Source organism: Homo sapiens, chromosome 11 (assembly GCF_000001405.40).
Source record: "Homo sapiens chromosome 11, GRCh38.p14 Primary Assembly".
Lineage (NCBI taxonomy): Eukaryota > Metazoa > Chordata > Mammalia > Primates > Hominidae > Homo > Homo sapiens.
In genome coordinates, this window is record NC_000011.10 from 69,493,378 (window position 1) to 69,512,185 (window position 18,808).

At 52.0% G+C, this 18,808-nt stretch overlaps 9 annotated features.

The window, feature by feature from the left end:
* Positions 40 to 4,389: an enhancer, noted in NCBI's record as "VISTA enhancer hs1920". NCBI's record gives its function as "enhancer in: heart[9/10]" and the evidence as "EXISTENCE:transgenic organism evidence [ECO:0001131][PMID:17130149]".
* Positions 40 to 4,691: a biological region, named in NCBI's record as "VISTA enhancer hs1920".
* Positions 2,340 to 2,882: an enhancer, noted in NCBI's record as "H3K4me1 hESC enhancer chr11:69310485-69311027 (GRCh37/hg19 assembly coordinates)". NCBI's record gives its function as "activates a minimal SCP1, AML or CMV promoter by ChIP-STARR-seq in naive H9 embryonic stem cells {active_cell/tissue: H9 hESC(naive)}" and the evidence as "EXISTENCE:reporter gene assay evidence [ECO:0000049][PMID:30033119]".
* Positions 3,062 to 3,877: an enhancer, noted in NCBI's record as "H3K4me1 hESC enhancer chr11:69311207-69312022 (GRCh37/hg19 assembly coordinates)". NCBI's record gives its function as "activates a minimal SCP1, AML or CMV promoter by ChIP-STARR-seq in naive H9 embryonic stem cells {active_cell/tissue: H9 hESC(naive)}" and the evidence as "EXISTENCE:reporter gene assay evidence [ECO:0000049][PMID:30033119]".
* Positions 3,878 to 4,691: an enhancer, noted in NCBI's record as "H3K4me1 hESC enhancer chr11:69312023-69312836 (GRCh37/hg19 assembly coordinates)". NCBI's record gives its function as "activates a minimal SCP1, AML or CMV promoter by ChIP-STARR-seq in primed H9 embryonic stem cells {active_cell/tissue: H9 hESC(primed)}" and the evidence as "EXISTENCE:reporter gene assay evidence [ECO:0000049][PMID:30033119]".
* Positions 6,225 to 6,759: an enhancer, noted in NCBI's record as "H3K4me1 hESC enhancer chr11:69314370-69314904 (GRCh37/hg19 assembly coordinates)". NCBI's record gives its function as "activates a minimal SCP1, AML or CMV promoter by ChIP-STARR-seq in primed H9 embryonic stem cells {active_cell/tissue: H9 hESC(primed)}" and the evidence as "EXISTENCE:reporter gene assay evidence [ECO:0000049][PMID:30033119]".
* Positions 8,165 to 8,665: an enhancer, noted in NCBI's record as "H3K4me1 hESC enhancer chr11:69316310-69316810 (GRCh37/hg19 assembly coordinates)". NCBI's record gives its function as "activates a minimal SCP1, AML or CMV promoter by ChIP-STARR-seq in naive H9 embryonic stem cells {active_cell/tissue: H9 hESC(naive)}" and the evidence as "EXISTENCE:reporter gene assay evidence [ECO:0000049][PMID:30033119]".
* Positions 16,658 to 17,286: an enhancer, noted in NCBI's record as "H3K4me1 hESC enhancer chr11:69324803-69325431 (GRCh37/hg19 assembly coordinates)". NCBI's record gives its function as "activates a minimal SCP1, AML or CMV promoter by ChIP-STARR-seq in naive H9 embryonic stem cells {active_cell/tissue: H9 hESC(naive)}" and the evidence as "EXISTENCE:reporter gene assay evidence [ECO:0000049][PMID:30033119]".
* Positions 17,287 to 17,915: an enhancer, noted in NCBI's record as "H3K4me1 hESC enhancer chr11:69325432-69326060 (GRCh37/hg19 assembly coordinates)". NCBI's record gives its function as "activates a minimal SCP1, AML or CMV promoter by ChIP-STARR-seq in naive H9 embryonic stem cells {active_cell/tissue: H9 hESC(naive)}" and the evidence as "EXISTENCE:reporter gene assay evidence [ECO:0000049][PMID:30033119]".

The following is an 18,808-nucleotide window of genomic DNA, read 5'->3' on the forward strand; positions in this document are numbered from 1 at the left end:
GGTTCACTGCAAAACTGAACAGAAAGTGCAGAATTCCCATATCCCACCTTCCCAAACACACACACAGTTTCCTCTGTGACTAACATCTTGCATCTTGTGGTACATTTGTTACAATTGAGGAACCAATATTGACCCATTATTATAAAGTCAGTAGGTGACATAAGCAGTCACTGTTGGTGTGGTGATTCTGTGGCTTTGGATAAATGTATAATGACATATATCCGCCATTACAGTATCACGCAGAATAGCTTCACTGCCCCCAATGTCCTCCGTCCTCCATCCACTCACTCCTTACCTCCCCCAGCCCCTGGCAACCACTGATCCTTTCCTGTCTCCACAGTTTTGCCTTTTCCGTATGTCACAGGGTTGGAGTCATACAGCTTGTAGCCTTTTCAGATCGGCTTCTTTCACTGAGTAATGTGTAGTTACTCTTCCTGTCTTTCAGCGACTTAAGAGCTCATTTCTCCTTAGCACTGAATAATAATATTCCGCTATCTGGACGTACCGCAGTTTATTTATCATCCGCTTTGTGAAGGGCACCTGGGTTGCTTCCAAGTTTGGGCAGTTATGAAGAAAGCGACGAAAACATGCCGAAAACCTGGCTCACGCACTGTGTTCATGGCGTGTGGAGGGGGCGCTTCGACCATCAAAGGAAGTTTGGAAGGAGGCAGAGTTCGGTGGCCTTGGGGCCCCTGGGGCGGCATGACTCCAGGGGGTGGGAGAGCTTTCTGGAAGGTGAGCTGTCCAGCAGCGTGGGGACTAGGGCGGCTAGGACATCTCAAGAAATCCTTCCCTGACACATCGCCTCCCCCGCCAGGTCTAAGCAGAGGCCAGGAAGACCTGACAGGGATGTGTTCTGCTCTGCGAGAAGACTGGGCACTGCTACATCCTGGGACTCTAGGCCTGGGCAGCTCTTCCCTTGGCAGAGGGCACTGCTCTCCTGCTGCTGCCGTCACCTGCTTGCCATCACCACGAGGGGCAGCCCGAGGGCAGGGCGTGAGAACCTTTCATCTCTATCCCTGCTCCCCATCTCAGGACCTCCAGGTGCCCCCAGCCACACCTGAGCCATGAAGGCTTTGCCATCTGACCCCTGCTCTGCACAGGAAGAAGCAGGAGATGGCACAGATGGGCATAGAGCCAGAGCCACCCCAGCCCTGCTGCAGGACCAGCCCTCAGCCGCGTTATCAGTGCCCATCTGAGTCAACTGTGCACAAAAACAGGAAGACTGGGACAAGATCTTTCACCTTCCTTCGATTGTCATCATCCAATTGTTCTTCCCGCGGTGACGCCATCCGGCAGCTTCACCGATATTCCTCTCTGGCATGACAGGGCCAGGCCCACCCCCCACAGAGGAGACAAGGAGGCGGAGAAGCCAGCCTTTCTGCAGGGCATAGGCACAGGGCTATGTGGTTGCCAGATGCACAGAAAGACCCTCAACCACAACCTGGGCTTTCAGGGCAAACCCAAGGGGCTTTTCGTGACTATGCCGGGGGCGTGGAAATGACTCCTCAAAATGCAGCACTTGCGGCAACAGGGGAGCAGCCCTGCCAGAGAGGCCCAAATCCTGGACTCAAGTGCCTGCTGCATGGCAGGTGGTCCCGGACAGTGAGGGCCCTCTCAGAGGAAAACATGGTGAGACCTGGGATCTGGGCTTTGACAACTGGCCAGTAAGATTGAGGCTGGCAGGCTTGTGGGCACAATTGGCCACAGCAGCCGCTGCACTCCTGGAAGAGCTGCATGAGGAGTAGGTGGCTTCCCCAGAGTCCCCACCTCCAGCAGGAAAGCATGGACAGGAACCAGAGGGGCTGGAACCTCTGGAGACCTGGTAGGGAAAGGCCACCCAACCCCCCGGTGCTTCTAGGAAGATTTTTCAATGTATGATTCTGACCAGTGGGAAGTTGCCACAAAGCCCTGGGGCTGGAAGAAGCCATGCACCAGGATAGCAGGTCTTAAGTGAGGAGGGCAAGGACAAAGATGAATCAGGACACCCACCCAGAGCCCGGAAGGTGGAAGAAGCTGCCCTCACCTCACCAGCCCCTGCTAGATACTCACACACTCACACACATGGGTGTGCAGGTGCACACACGCATGCACACACACACACACACACACACAGGGGCTGCTGGGAAGTGAGTGGGTCCCTGCTCCCTGTGGAATATGTGAAGCCACTTGGGGCCAGCTGGGCTTTGCCACATCATTCCCGCCTGTGAAAGAGGCCTCTGAGGTTCTGGTGCCACCTGGATAATTCAAAGCCCATCCAGCCTGGGGTTGTCCCCCTACCAGGATCTTCCCCAGGGCTTTGGAGGCCTCACCCTTCCTGGCCTCCAGGGGCTCCATTCATGTCCAGCATAAACACATGGCCGGGAGGGGAGGCTGGCTTTGCTGATCCCAGGGCCCAGACGTTCACAACTGGGAACTTGAAGGGTGTGGGGCCGAGTCCCAGCTCCTACACCTCTGTCCTCACCTCTGCACCAGGCCTGAGATCCCTGGTCCTAAGTACCTCCTGGGGATGATGTGAGCTCCGGGAAGAAAAGAGGAGGCAGGGCTTGATGACAGGAGCTCCTGGGGCAGGTGGGGCAGCTGGGATGACCGTGCTGGTGGCAGACTTTGAGGGGCACGGGATGCCTTGCTCTCCTCCACCCGCAGGGCTTTAACAATATGCAGCAAGCTCAGCTGGGTTTGGGAGGCCATGACAGCCCAAGCCCCCTGCAGCAACAGTGAATGTTTCTCCTGACCAAGATTGGCTGGGAAGAGACAGCAGCGTGCCATCGGGTGAAGAAGGTGGGTTGTGCAGAAAATTTCAGCTACAAGCGACAGAACACCAATTTAAACTGGTTACAGCCAAAAGGAGAGGGTTAATTGATGTAGAAGAGCTTCAGGCATAGCTGGTTCCAGGAGTCTGTCATCGGAACTTGGGGTCTCCATCCCTCCTTCTCTAGCTCTGCTTTCCCGTGTTGGTATCACTCACAGGCAGACTCGTCCTTCTGTCTTTTCCTTCTAGTCCAAGACGGGCATGGCGCCAGAGCCATCCTTGTCCCGGGTGGCCACCTCGCCAGCTGCAGAACCAACTTCCGGCAGCATTATCCGTGCTTTCCTGAGTTGACGAGCACCATGCACTCAGGGGAGCTCTACCTTGCTTTGAGGGTGGTTTGGATGTTCTCTCTTCCCTCTCTTTTCTTTCTGCCCCCAACAGAGAGACAGTTGTGGGGACAACTGAAGGGGCTTGGTACTGGCATCTGGAGGGCAGAGGCCAGAGATGCTGCTAAATACCCTACAGGGCCCAGGACAGTCCCCACAGCAGAGAATTATCCGGCCGCATTGCAGGATAGAGAAATCCTGGGACAAGTGGCTGTGGACGTCCAGGTGTGGTCATTCCTCCAGCCACAGCAGGCTTTCAGAAGTTGTCCTGAGACTGCAATGCAGGGGGGCACTGTACTCAGGAGCAGGGTGGTCCCCACCTGGGCTGAGGACAGATCTTTGGGAGGCAGCAGTGGCCTGAGCCCTGGACCAGGATGCAGGGGTCCCGGCTCTCGTTCTCCCTCATTCCCCCACTGCTCAAATGTGTCACTCCTGCCTTGCCACCCCCATTTACTTGTCTGAGGCAGGAGCTGATCTAGGAGCTGGGGAACCACTCACAGGTCTTGGGCAAAGGTCAGTGCCTGCATAGACTTGGCCAGCACAGTGTGCTTGAGCCCACCATCTCAGCCTCCTCACCACGGGGATTGTGCGGCCAGGGAAGTGCTGGCTTGCTTCCAGGTTGGTTTGGGTGTTTTCTATTTCCTCTCTTCTCGTGGCGCCCACCCGCCCCCCCGCCCCGCCCTGCCCCAGGTTCCCATTGAAATGCCGGCCAAAAGGACAGCTACACAGGCAGTTCCAGACCGCAGCCTTCCAGGGCCCTGCTCTGAGCAGCTGCCTGAGAGTCCCAGGCCGGGCGTACATTGTTCCATTTTTGGAATTCTTCGGGAGTGAGAGCAGCCTCGGCTGTCAACAGTGCTCTGTTCACAGAGGCCGGCCCGGCAAAGGAGAGAGGGCGAGCTATTGTCCAGGGCTGGGCTGCGGGCTGCAGGAATGTGCTGGAATGCCGGCCCGCATGGCACAGTCCCAGAGCGGGGCCTTTGTGTGCAAACACCACCGGGCAGCAGGGCCATCACATAAATAACGATGACCTCACCCCCAGATATCAGGCTCTGTGGTGGGATGGGGTGGGGGCGGGGGCCGGCCCCCAGAAAGGAGACCACAGGGGAGGCGCACCCTTCCCCACACACAGGGCACTGCAGCAGCCTCTGTGCAGGAACGCCAGCCAGAGTGGGGTTGGGGTGGATGTCTGCCCCTGGAAGCAGGCTGCATTTACTGTCTGGGGCCAATTGATACCCCTCAGTGCCTGAGACCTGGGCATCAGGACTCAGAGCCTCAACTCCAAAGGGTCCTGATGAAAATGCTGGTATAGGTATAGGCAGTTCAGGTCCAGGTGCAGAGGTGCAGGTATGGGCATGTGCAAGTTGCAGGTATAGGCGGAGGGGTGCAGGTATAGGCAGAGGGGTGCAGGTATAGGTGGAGGGGTGGAGGTATAGGTGGAGGACTGCAGGTATAGGTGGAGGGGTGTGGGTATAGGTGGAGGGGTGCAAGTGTAGGTGGAGGGGTGCAGGTATAGGCGGAGGGGTGCATGTGTAGGTGGAGGGGTGCAGGTATAGGTGAAGGGGTGCAGGTATAGGTGAAGGGGTGCAGGTATAGGTGGAGGGGTGCAGGTATAGGTGGAGGGGTGCAGGTATAGGTGGAGGGGTGCATGTATAGGTGGAGGGGTGCAGGTATAGGTGAAGGGGTGCAGGTACAGGTGGAGGGGTGCAGGTATAGGCGGAGGGGTGTAGGTATAGGTGGAGGACTGCAGGTATAGGCGGAGGGGTGTGGGTATAGGTGGAGGGGTGCAAGTGTAGGTGGAGAGGTGCAGGTATAGGCGGAGGGGTGCATGTGTAGGTGGAAGGGTGCAGGTATAGGTGAAGGGTTGCAGGTATAGGTGAAGGGGTGCAGGTATAGGCAGAGGGGTGCAGGTATAGGTGGAGGGGTGCAGGTATAGGTGGAGGACTGCAGGTATAGGCGGATGGGTGTGGGTATAGGTGGAGGGGTGCAAGTGTAGGTGGAGAGGTGCAGGTATAGGTGGAGGGGTGCATGTGTAGGTGGAGGGGTGCAGGTGTAGGTGGAGGGGTGCAGGTATAAGTGAAGGGGTGCAGGTACAGGTGGAGGGGTGCAGGTATAGGCGGAGGGGTGTAGGTATAGGTGGAGGACTGCAGGTATAGGTGGAGGGGTGCGGGTGTAGGTGGAGGGGTGCAGGTGAAGGTATGTGCAAGTGTGGGTAGGTGGAGGGATGGAGGTATAGGTATGTACAAATGTGAGTATAGGTGGAGGGGTGCAGGTACAGGTGAAGGGGTGCAGGTACAGGTAGAAGGGTGCAGGTTCAGGTGGAGGGGTGCAGGTATAGGTGGAGGGGTGCAGATATAGGTGGAGAGGTGCAGGTACAGGTGGAGAGGTGCAGGTACAGGTGGAGAGGTGCAGGTATAGGTGGACGGGTGCAGGTACAGGTATATGCGGGTGCAGGTACAGGTATATGCAAGTGCAGGTATAGGCAGGGGGATAGCGAGCCCTAGATACATCCCTGGGTGATGAGGCCCACTCCGCCTCCTCCAGGCTTGTCACCTCTGTGAGCTGCTGTACCTCCTTCCTCAGTAGAAAGGGGACCACAGAGATAAGTCATGCCTTCAGCACCTGCCAGCGGCAGGTGTGATGAGAAGGGTGTTTTCCCTCTGGGGTCTTCCTTCCCAAACCCCATAACCCAGTCCAACTATGAGATCAACTAAAGGGCATTCTGTGAAATCCTCAAAACCAGTCCTCAAAACTGGTGAGGATGTCACAAGCAAGCAAAGAGAGAAGCTGCCGCAGCCCAGGGAGTCTCAGGAAATGGGGTGACCCAGTGTCACGTGGGGCCCTGGATGGGGCTCTGGGACAGAAAAGGGTATTGTGGGAAAGCCAAACAAACTACAGACCTTAATTAACAAGAATGCATTGACATGAGTTCGTTAACTCTGACAAGCACACCCTACTAATATTAGATGTTCACAGTAGGGGAAGCTGGGTGTGGGGCACGCGGGAGCTCTTGCTGTGTCCGTAACTTCTCCGTGAAGCTGCAACTGTTCTAAAGTGGAAGGTGTGTAAAGCCGAATGGTTAAGAATCCAGCTCACCCTGGGACACGCAGCAGGTGCCCAGCCAGCGGCAGCCCTGACCATGAGACCAGCCCACCCCTTTCACTCTGTCTACTCAGAGAAGCCTCTTTGCTGTAACCCACACAGTGGTTGGAACTGTACAGACTTCATCATGAGGAGTAAGTGCAAGCAGGAGGTAGGAGTGCATTGGCGGGAACCTGCAGAGACTGGGCGAGTCCCTGTTCTGTCCCTTCCTGACTCCAGGGCTTGAGTGAGCGACACCACCTGCTTCTTGGGGCTGCTGTGGGGCAATGAGAAGACCCAGTGGGATTTGCAATGTAGGGCACACCTGCTCCACACTGCGACCAGAGCCCTTTCAACTCAGACCGAATCTGGAGGCGTCTCTGAGCCTGCTTTGCTGGCCCCAGCTCTCCTCTCTCCTGCCCCTTCCTGGCCAACCTCAAAGGAGGGCCCTCGAGGCCTAGCAGAGACGCTCCCACCAGGCAGCGTGTTACAACACACCATGTTGCCTTCCCGCGCCTCCGGCAGCACTGTGATGGAAGCTCAAGGGAACAATTTGCAGTGTCCAGGGCTGAAGCCTGCTTAGGGTCCAGCTGCTGCCACCAGCATGCAGGCTCTCACACAGCAGGGGCTGCTGCCCCACTTGGCAGGGCAGGGCGCTGAGGACCAGAGGGGCAAACCATTTGCCCAAGGTCATTGCCAGGACTTAAACCTGCAAGCTGGAACCTGTGCTTTCAATCATAGTGTCCAGTGGGCCAAAACAGGTCCCCTAAGAGGGAAGGGGCTGCCCCGAGGCCACACAGCTCACAGGCACTGAGTCCTTGCACCAGTACAGGGACCTGTCCTCCCTGCAGTCTAGGAGGCTCCATCTGTGCAGCCCCAGAAGACAAATCCTCCAGCCTGGCAGGCAGGGAACTGCTTGGAGCCAGGAAGTTCAGGCAGGCACCTGGCGCCCCAGAGCGCTGCATTCTCGCTTCCACTCTGCACCTGCCCCAGACCCTGAGCAGCCCCACACAGAGCCTGAGCAGTGCATGCATTTGTGCAAACTGGCCAGACAGCAGGTGCAGGGGGCACGGTGTCTTTGTGGGCCAGGCCCCTACTTCCTGCACACGTGTGTGTCAAGGCACCTGCACCTCCTTATCTCTCCTAGGTGTGTCCAGCCTCACAGCCCACCCTCCTGGCCCTGCCTCTGACCTTTGCTCCAACCAGTCCACCCATGCACCCCTCTTGCTTCCCACCCATGGTTCAACCTGTTTGCTCTGCTGGAGATGGGTCACACTTCCACTCCCGGCCGCCCACCGGCTCCTGCTCATCCCCTTCCCTCGGAGTGGGGTGTTCCTCCTCACCCAAACCTGGGCCAGGCACCCCTCCTCTGGGCTCCATGTCACCCAGGCAGGCATCACCCTGCAGGGAAAGTCCACATTGCCTCGTCTGTCTGTCCAAGTAGACTGTGGGCAAATCGAGGCCAAGGCTGGGTCTGAATCATCTCAGCACCCCAGGGTCTGACACCGCCTGGTGCTCAGCCAGCACCTGCTGGATGGAAAGAAAGGAGGGAGGGGGAGGAAGGAGGGAGGGAGAGCAGATGCATGGAGGGAAATAAGGAAGGAGAGAAAGATAGACGAGTGAAAAAATAGTTAGGAAATGTGTCCAGAAATGGAGAGATGGAAAGGAGAGAGGGGGGAAGTAAGGCATGAAGAAGGAAGAAAGGAAGGAAGAGAGGGAGGGAGGGAGGTTAGATATGCATGAAAGGATGGAAGGAAGGATGGAAAGATAGAAAAATGGGTAGTTGAGGAAGGGCTGGAGGATTGGTGAATGAAGGGAGAGATGGATAGAAGAGAGAGGGAGGAAGGGAGGGAGGGAGAGAGGAAAAGGAGTGGGGAGGGCTGAAAGGAGGAAGATGGAAGGAAGAATGGGTGGATGGAGGAAAGGAGGGCTGGAGGAGTAGATGTGGGTAGACGGATGGGTTTGTTGGGTTTGGGAGGGTGGGGTTGGGCGGAAACTCTTTACACTCTACTCAGGCTGTGTCCTCCCTTTGATGAACAAGGGGATCTCCAGTGACCTGCCAAGCCCAGGTCATTGGTAATGGGGCGGAGTGGGGATGGTGAAGATGTCATAAGAACCCACTGGCCCCCAAGTGATGTTGGCAGCATGGGCACCTGGGGTCGCCAAAACAAGACAGGTGCGTGCCCAGGCATGCCAAAATCCCCTGCAAATGTGGAAAGCACCAGAATCCTGGGGATTTTTCTAGCATGGATTTTATTTTGCCAATGAAAAATAATCACAATCACATACAAGTGGCCATAGAAGGAAGCCCAGCGCTGAGGTGACCTGCTGAATAGAGAGCTCCTTCCAACCCCTCGGGCCGGCCGTGGACGTGACCGCCCAACTTGGCTGTCCAGCCCCACCACCCAGCAGAGGCTCCTTCCCTGACATGAGGCCGGCTTTGCCACCCAGAGGCACACTCGGCACCAGAATGGCCCTCACCAGGAGGCTTCAGCGTCCCCCCATGGCCTGCCTGTCCATGGACCTCCGACGCGGCCACCTGGGGCATGCTGCCTCTGGTGCTCAATCACACGGGACCTGAGAGAGTGCAGCGAGGCCACGGCCTGACCCCTCATCTCCATCCCTGTCTTCACCTCTGTGCGCCACTCCACAGGCCTTCTTTTCTCGGCTCAGGCCCCAGAGTCTGGGGTGAGAGATGCGAGCTTTGTGCTCCTCCTCCACCACATTGAAACAGGACTATCAGGAGGTGTGTATGCTGTTAAGTGGGGACGAGGGGCTGCTAGATCACGTGTGTAATAGAATGCCGATTTTGCAAATCTACAGCCACACGCAGAGAAACAGACTGAAAGACCACAGATAGCAGGACTCCTAACCAGCCCCACCTGGCTGGCCTCCACCAAGCTGCCTCTAAGCCAACCGGCCCCATTAACCCACACAGGCCGCCTAACCAGACCCACCTAGCTGGCCTCCACCAAGCTGACCTCTAAGTAGCCAACCAGCCACATTAACTCACACACCCCACTCTGGCTGCAGAGCTCCACTGATGCCCACATGGAACTGGCAGCCCCAGCTGGCACCTGCTTCCTGGCACCCTGCCCACCTACTCCCAGCTGCATCTGCCCACTGAGGTCAGTGGGTTCACGCATCTGCTAATACCTCTGTACTTCTAATCACAACTACGGTCATCCCTTGGAACCCAAGGAGGATTGATTCCAGGATCCCCAAGGAGACCAAAATCCACAAATGCTCCACTCCCTTATATACAATGCTGTAGTGTTTGCATAGAACCCAGGCACATCCTCCTGCATACTTTAAATCTAGATTACTTATAATACCTAACAAAATGTGGTGTAATATTATGGGGGAGGCGGTCTTGTTGTCTCAGGGTTGGCAGAGTTGGAAGAAAATCCACATGTAAGTGGACCCTTGTGGTAAAATATAATATGCCACATTTTATTAGGCATTATAAGTAATCCAGATTTAAAGTAATTGTAATACTAAGCAAACAGTTGTTATTCTGTATTTTTTGTTTCATTGTTGTGTTATTTTTATTGTTGTATTTTTAACTGAATTTTTTCCTTAAATCATTTTGATCCAAGATTGGGTGAATATGTTGATGCAGAACCAGTGGATACGGGAGGCTGACCATGCATCACTTAATTTATTTTGTTAACTAGTACATAAACCTACCTATGAAATCCGAGTGCAAAAATATGGTTACTAATCTACGAAAATGAAGCTTTACGCTTTAGAAAATGATACTGATAAGTTGCTTTAAAAAAAAAAAAAAAAAGCTTCCGCCTAGTAAAGGGTGAGGCAGCTGGAAACAATTGTGATGCCCGTTCATATCATTCTAGAAAAATCCTGAATTCAGACTGTGTCACATGTCTGTAAGCTTCCACTTCACCTTAAAGAAATTGAAACTGAGAATGAGCGTGGTCTGTGCTTAGGAGAAGACGTGGAACTCCAGTGGGCAGTTTCATCAAATCAATGTACAGCTGACCCTCAAACAGCCCGGGTTTGAACTGGAGGGTCTTTCCACTTCTCCCTGGGTTTTCTTCTGCCTCTGTCACCCAGGAGATGGCAAGACCAACCCCCCACCCCTCCTCTTCCTCCTCCTCTTCCTCAGCCTACACAACATGAAGACCACAAAGATGGAGACCTTTACCATGATCCACTTCCACTTAATAGTAAATACATTTCTCTTCCTTATGATTTTCTTAGTAACATGTTCTTTTCTCTAGCTTGCTTTATGGCATGAATAGTCTATACCATACAAAATATGTGTTAATTGACTTTGTATGTTATAGACAAGGCTTCCACTCAACAGTAGGCTATTAGTAGTTAAGTTTCGGGGGAGTTGAAAGTTGTAGGTGGATTTTTCATCTGCAGGGGCTTGGTCTCCTACTCTCCATGTTGTTTAAGGGTCCACTGCACAGTTATGCTGTTTGAGATTAAAATACAACATGAAGCATGAGCATGTATCATGTTGCTGCTCTCCCCCCTGCTTTAAATGATTTTTACTTTCTTCTTTGGATTTTTCTGTGTTCTTCAAATTTTTTTCCAACAAGCATGCATCACTTTTATCACCCAAAAGAATAATGGCTATGTCTTTAGCCAGTGTCAGCGCACTGGGAGAATTGCTGTGCTCGGATGCCTTCTGCCAGGGTCTGTGCCTCGTCCCTCCCTGGGGTAGGATGAGGGTTTCTCAGCCAGGGTCTGGCCTCATCCCTCCCTGGGACAGGATCGAGGTGTCTCAGCCACAGTGTCATGGGCCCGTTGGGCCAAGTCATCCTTTGTTGAGGGGAGGAGCGGAGGCTGTTCTGTGTTCCTCATCCCCGGCCTCCACCTACAAGAGGCCGGAAGGGTCCCCTCCAGTTGTGACAAGGGAGTGTCTCCAGATCCCATCAAACGCCTGTGGGGACAAAATCACTGCAGGCTGAGAAACTGATACAGATTTTTAAAACCCCACTTGGGGACCCCAGCCTCCACCCTGCTTCTGACCGTGTCCTCATCACACTGAACATTAGTTGGGTGAAACTTAAAATGCTCTCAACTATCTGGCTGTGCCGGCTTCACAGAGCCAAACCCTGCACCACTGGAAAATAGTGCATGTCTAAACTCCATCTTTGGATGTTCACCACTGCTTCTGCAGGGCGAGGGCCCGGCTCTGTCACTCCTGAGAAGGCTATTCCCAAAGTGGATGGAGCCCTGGGCAGGTCCCCTTCCCCTGCAAGGCACCAAGAAACCAACAGGCAGTCCGCTCCTCGGAGGCAGCTCTCTTTTCAAGCATTCTTTCTGGTTTTCCGTTCCTAAAAGGACGCTGCCTTTCTCTGAGCCTGTAAGAGCCCTCAAAGGGTCCAGCAGAGGCCAGAAGGCTGAGCAGGGGCCTCCCTGGATGAAGTGGGGAGTGGGGGTGGGGTAGATGCTGCAGGCATGCCCTGCACCCACCCACCTCCCAGCCATGTGCCCTGGGTGAGGCCTTCGCAGGAACTCTGACCCCTCTGCTTCCCATAAAGTGTTAGGTGTTGGTCTCGGGGAGCCTGGCTGGTGGATTAGTTCCTTCTCAAGCTGCTATAAAGAAACACCTGAGGCTGGGTAATTAATAAAGAACAAAGGTTTAACTGGCTCACAGTTCCACAGGCTGTGCAGGAAGCATAGTGGCTTCTGGGGAGGCCTCAGGAAGCTGATGATCATGGTGGAAGGTGAAGGAGAAGCAGGCACCTCTTACATAACCTGAGGAGGAGCAAGAGAGAGAGGGCGGGGAGGTGTCACATACTTTTAAAAACAACCAGATCTCGTGAGAACTCATTCACTATCACAAGAACCGCACCAAAGGGGGAAATCTGTGCCCAGGATCCAATCACCTCCCACCAGTACCCACCTCCAACACTGGGGAGTATAATTCCACATGAGATTTGGGTGGGGACACAGATCCAAACCATATCTGTTGGTTTAGCCACAAGTGAGCCCCTCCTGCCATATGCTGGGCAGCCAGGGAAGCTACCCAGGATGCCTCTGCCATCAGGGTCCGTCACTGTGAGCCCAGGGGAGGCCATTGATGAAGGTGGGTGGGTGAGGCTTAAGGTAAATGAAGGTGGGGCACAAGGTGGGAAGGTTCTGGAACATCTGGGCATACTTCCCCATGGGGTGTACACCAGGAGGCACAGAGGGCAGCCCACATCACCAAGGGCCTCCAGTGGCCGGCTGACTTTAGGCTGAGTCGGCAGACCACACGCCCAAGAGTGACAAGGCCAGTCACTGGAAGCGGAAGAAACGCTAGACATTTATCCTTATTTTCTCAGACCTTTTTAGAAATAACAGCGTTATTGACCAAGAATACCATACAATTCATCCATTTCCAGTGTAAATTCGGTGGTTTCGAGTATATTCACAGAGTTGTGCAACCATCACCACTCCTAATTTTAGAACATTTTTATCACCCCCGAGAAACCCCACACCATTAGCAGCCACCCCACATCCGCCGCTCCACTTCAGTCCCAGCAACCACTAATCCACGTTCTGGCTCGGTGGATTGACTGCTTCTGGACATTTCATACAAATGGAACATACACTGCGTGTGGCTTTGGTGACTGGCTGCTTTCAGGGTTCATCCGTGTTGTAGTGTGTGTCAATGCAAACCTTCTTTTATGGTTGAATAGCACCCCATGGTTTGGGCACAGTACAGGCTATTTATCCATCCTTCAGTTGATGAGCTTTTGAGTTGTTTCGTTTTTTGGCTGGTATTACACTGCTGGGAATGTTCACGTCCAAGTGCTACCATTTCTCTTGGGAAGATATCTAGGAGTGGAGTTGCTGGGTCACACAGTAACTCTACGTTTAACATTTCGAGGAATCGCCAGGTTGTATCATTTTACATTCCCACCACAACGAATGAGGTTCCAGTTTCTCCACATCCTCACCAATACCTAACACCATCTGCCTTTTTAATTTTAGCTATCCTAGTGGCTGTGGAGTGCCATCCTAGTCTTCTCTGGATTTGTGATTCCCTAATGACTAATAATGTTGAGCATCTTTTCATGGACTTATTGGCCATTTGCATGTTTTCTTTGGAGAAACGTCTATTCAAGCCCTTTGCCCATTTCTATTTGGTTTGTCTTTTTACTGTTGAATTGTAAGAGTCCTCTATATATTCTGGATACTAGACCTTTATCAGATATGACATTCGCAAATATTTTCTCCCATTCTGTGGGTTGTCTTTTCACTTTCTTGATTGTCTCCCTTGAAATACACGAGTTTTTAATTTTTGTTTTTTTGAGACAGAATCTCACTCTGTCCCCCAGGTTGGAGTGCAGTGGCTCAATCTCAGCTCATTGCAACCTCTGCCTCCTGGGTTCAAGTGATTCTCCTCCCTCGGCCTCCCAAGTAGCTGGTATTGTAGGTGTCCGCCATCATTCCCAGCTAATTTTTGTATTTTTAGTAGAGACAGGGTTTCACCATGTTGGCAAGGCTGGTCTTCAACTCCTGACATCAGGTGATCCACCCACCTTGGCCTCCCAAAGTGCTGGAGTTACAGACGTGAGCCACCATAGCAGCCAAGTTTTTAATTTTGATGAAATTAATCTATGATTTTTTGAATTGGATGAAAACCAACTCATCTAATTTTGATGAAATCTAATTCATCTATTTTCATATATTTATGAATTGGATGAATAAATCTAATTCATCTATTCTAGATCTTTTCTTTTTGTTTGGTTACTTGTTTTTTGATTTTTTTTCTTGGTGTCATATTAAGAATGCAAGGTCATAAAGACTTAAACCCACACTTTCTTCTACAAGTTTTATAGTTTTCTTCCATTTAGGTCTTTGATCTATTTTGAGTTAATTTTTGTATTCAGTATGGGGTAGAGGTCCGATTGCATCTTTTACACGTGGATACCCAGTTGTTCCAGCACCATTTGTTGAAAAGACATTCCTTGTTAAATGGCCTTGACACTTTTTGCAAAATTCAGTTGACTATAAATACATGAGTTTATATTTGATTTGTTCATTGCTAGTGTATAGAAATAAAAGGAATTTTTATATATTGATCTTATATCCTGCAACCATACCTAACTCATCTATTAACTCCAATAGTTTTTTATTTAATTTCTTAGGATTTTCTACATGTAAGATCATCTGCAAATAGAAATAGCTTTACTTTTTCCTTTCCATCTTGATGCCTTTTATTTCTTTTTCTTGCCTAATTACCCCCTCTAGAACCTCCAGAACAGCGTAGAAGTGATAAGAATGGACATCTTACCATGTCCCTTATCTTAGGGGAAAGTCTAGTCTCTCAGTATTAAGTAGAATATTAGATACAGGGTTGTTTGGTTTGGTTTCAATGTCCTTTATCAGGTACAGGAAGTACCTGTCTTCATATCTTTTTACTGAGGTATAATTCTCATAGAGTGAAGTTGACAAATCATAAGTGTATAAACAAATCTTAAGCTTGATGAATTTTTATGTGTGTGTGTGTGTGTGTGTACACCCATGAAACCACCACCAAGATCTGGCTATAGGACATTTCATTTCACACACCCAGAGAGTCCCGTTATGGGATTCCCCATTAGGTTTGCAAAATGCAGCAAAAAAACAAAAAACAAACAAAAAAAAAACCCAAATAGGATGCCCAGTAAGGCTTACAATGAGGGATGAACAAATAAAATTTTAGTATAAGTATGTCTTATGAAATATTTGGGACATATCCTGGGACATATTTACACACACGAAAAAAACTATTGATCATTTATCTGAAACACAAATTTTAACTGGGTATTTTGCATTTGACCACACTGCCATGAATGAGTTTTCCCCATCCTTGAACCTCATACAGCTGAAATCATAGTGCATGAACCTTGTTTCTTGTCCTAATGTTTCTGAGATCCATCCATGTTATTGCCTCTATCAGAACCACTCTTCTTCACTCCTGAGAAGTGTTCCATTGCCCAAGGTCTATGTTTGTTTTCCTGTTGACGCCTGAGCTGTTTCCACTTTGAGGCTCTTCTAGATGGAGCTGCCATGTGTGCTCTGGTGGGTGTCTTGCTATACACACATGCACTTATTTCTTTTGGGTAAATACTTAGAAGCGGAATTGCTGGGTCCCAGGTGGGCATATATTAGCTCTGTTAGAAACTAATTTCTTTTCTGCATACGTGTAAAAAATACATTAGTTCCTCACCCCCCTAAACACACACACACACACACAAACACAATAGTAACTATGTGAAGTGATGGGTGTGTTAATTAATTTGATTGTGATAATCATTTCACAGTCTATATGTATATCAGATTCTCATGGTGTACACCTTGACTATAAGCAATTTTAATTTGTTGATTATTCCTCAGTAATGCTGGGGAGAAAAGAGTAAAACAAAATCAAGACCACTCCATGCTTAGAGTAAAATCAATAAGATAACACTCTAAAAAAATAATAAAGATGTGAGTACAATAGTATGTGGGGTGTATGATAGGAGGATCTTGATTGATGGTGGTTGTGATCTAAAGAGTTGAGGAGTTCCGCAGATTGGGGACACTGATGGTTTGGGGGCAGGAAGGGGAGGTGATCAGAGGCACGCTTTAGGGAGGAAGTCTGACTCATGTTTGTGCCGGGTGCCGAGCCCATAGGGATGGTGCTTCCAGAAAGTCCACAGGACTCCAGATAAACAGCAAACCACTTGTTGGTATAAGTATGTATCAATGTATGTCCCCAAGAACGCACAGGGCATATTGACAAAATAGTATTCCTTATTTATCTGAAAATGAAATGAATGTACATGAAATCTCAATTTAATTGACTGTCCTCTATTTCTATGTGCTAAATCCAGCAGGTCCACACAGGCGTGCCCACAGAGCATGGGGAGGCACGGTCGCCATGGCACAAGTGAGGAAGGACTCGCTCTGGGCAGCCACCTCCTCACCACTGGGCACCTGACACCTGGGTCCAGGCTGGCTGGGCAGGGGCAGATGTGGTGCCTGCTGAGCCCCTCAGACCACAGCTCAGACCAACTGACACAGCCAGGCCCCTGGCCAGCACCTGCAGGCACTAGAGCCCAGGCCTGGCTCTCTCTGCAGGGCTCTGGAGTTCAGGCTCCCCACAGAGACCAGCTGGTACTGCCTGCCCACCCCTTCACCGACCACCACCACCACCAGGCATCCCGACTGAGAGACGAAGGCCTTGAGAGCAAAGGGGACTCTTCAGCAGGGTGTGCCCTGGGGGCAGCAAAGATGACTGCTGCTCTTCCCTCCTAAGGATTTGGTACCCTACCCATGCCCAGGGATAACAGTGCCCAGTTCAGCCCAGACTGAGGTCCAGGCCTCCTGGCAGGGGGATGCAGGAAGTGGAGCAGTTTCTGCACAAAAACATCAAGGATTCGAGCAGAGCCCGCGGCCAGCTCAACAAGCCTGGCACTGGCACATCCATTCATTTGTTCAGTACTTATGTGTTCAGCACTTGTGTATTCACAGCCGGCCACGTGCCAGGCTCTGGACACCCAGGGGGGCACAGTGCTTCTATGTGCTAAATCCAGCATGTAGAAACTGGGAGAAGTCTGGGTGGGGCTCTGCCAGCATCCTGAGTCCTGGTGGAGATGGTCGGCATGGTCAGCCCTGGCCACTCATGTCAGCTCCCTCCCACGGCCCCATGCTGCCCACACTTACAGGGAACCCAAATAGCCTGACAGGCCCGCCTCTCCAGGTAGCCCACACGTAACGTATCATGCCACTCAGAATACCCAAATGAGAGATTCCAGTTTTCAACTTGCTTCTCAAAGTTCTGCCTTCCTCATCTGAGCATGTCCAGCGGCCTGTCCTTGCCCGACTGCAGTGGCTGGTCCCGAGCTAAGACCCCGGGGACCTTCTTCAGGAGCGTATTTACCATCTGGGAATGGGGTATCTGGCAAGCCCCCAGGAGAGAGCCAACAATCTCATTTTGCAGATGGGAAGACCGAGATTGGGAGACGAGAAGAGTAGTCTGGAGGCCAGGTCTGCAGACTGAGCCTAGAGCTGCTCCCACAGCCCCTGCTGGGTCTGGCACGCTCATGTCCAGTGCTCGAGCCCCTCCCTGTAGATCACACCCACTTCTGACTCAGGCCCCAACAAGCCCTTGCTAGCCCAGCTTCCCCCTCCCCCGCCCAGGCAATACAGGCTTCTGCAACCCCTGACTCTGGGATGTGAGGCAGAATCCAGAGACCCAGGCCTGGGGGCTGTTTCAGCAGGTGTGAGCATCTACCTGCAGGAAAGTAGGTGCTTCCAGCAACCTGTGATCACCTTGACCTGCACACCTGTACACCAACAAGCCCCAGAGGGAGGTAGGAGCCACCCGACCTGGTCAGCATCCCACTGGGACAGACTGCACGTGAATCCAAAGATCCTGGACCGAAGCTCAGGTCTGTCTGGGTCACTGAGTTCCTTAAGACCCCACCCTCTGGGGGACTCTATGAAGCCTGACTGTGACCACTGCGTGGGTCAGATCAGGATAGATGGGGTGACTAGAGGCTCCATCTCACACACATCTCCAGCCCGGCTTCTTGGAAGGTCTGGGCATGACAACTTCTCTTCTCTGAAGATGCATCTCTGTCTGCTGGCGGGCCTGGCATCTTCTGGGGGTGCTTCTGGCATCTTCTAACAGGTCTGTGCTTCTCAGTGAGGCAGCTTGGCCACTTGGAAATGGCCACGCTGGGTCAGTAAGGACAAAGGAAGCCTTGGGGTCCAAACGGTGACTGGGTTCAGCTCACAAGAAAGCGGGGATCCCTTGAACTTCAAAAATTAGCAGTTCTGTCCACAGGGAGGGGTGGCCGAGGCAGAAGATCTGAAACTCATCAACTCTGGGCCTGGACGGGGCAGCATCTCAGCAAACCTTTCAGAGGTGCAGATCTGTAGGGAGCTACACAGGGCAGTGGCTCATGCCCACAGCCCCGGGCTCCAGCTTGGTTTTCCGGCCTCCTAGCAAGACACTACACCAACAGTGCAGGACGCTATGCCGAGGGTGGGGTCCATCTCCTTTCACAGAGGAAATAAATCAAAGCCTTCAAGTCCGAGTTTGATGGAAATATTTCAATCCTTCATGGGTAATGCCCATCATTCTAAATGTTTTGTGGTAACATACAGTGGAAATGACTGCAACATGACGTTGTTATTCCGTATTCTGAGCCAAACTCCTGAGGTCGGTCTTGTTTGCATCACATGTGGCCGGGGAATCGTCCCTTGAGGGCTTCTGTCTGCTTCTTGCCAAGCGGCTGAATGGATCGATGACGGAGGCATCTCCTAATTGCCACAGGGCTGCTCGTCCCTGCTCAGTGCACCAACCAGAAAGCCCAGTGAGGGAGGGGGATGCATCTGTTTGGAAACAGCGCATCATTGCCATCCTGTTGTGGGGTGTGCCATGAACCTAGTAGTCACACCGGGGGTTCTGAATGCGGTCCAAGCAACCGGTGGATGCCGGAGGAAGCATTTGCTTTCCTCTAATCCTTCCTACAGCCCCACCAGAGGCCCGCACTATGATTGTTGCGCTGTCACTAATTTTCCAAGGGTCATTTTCCCCCATCCAGAGGAAAGTGATGTTTAGAATTCCAAGTCGCTCACCCCTTCCATT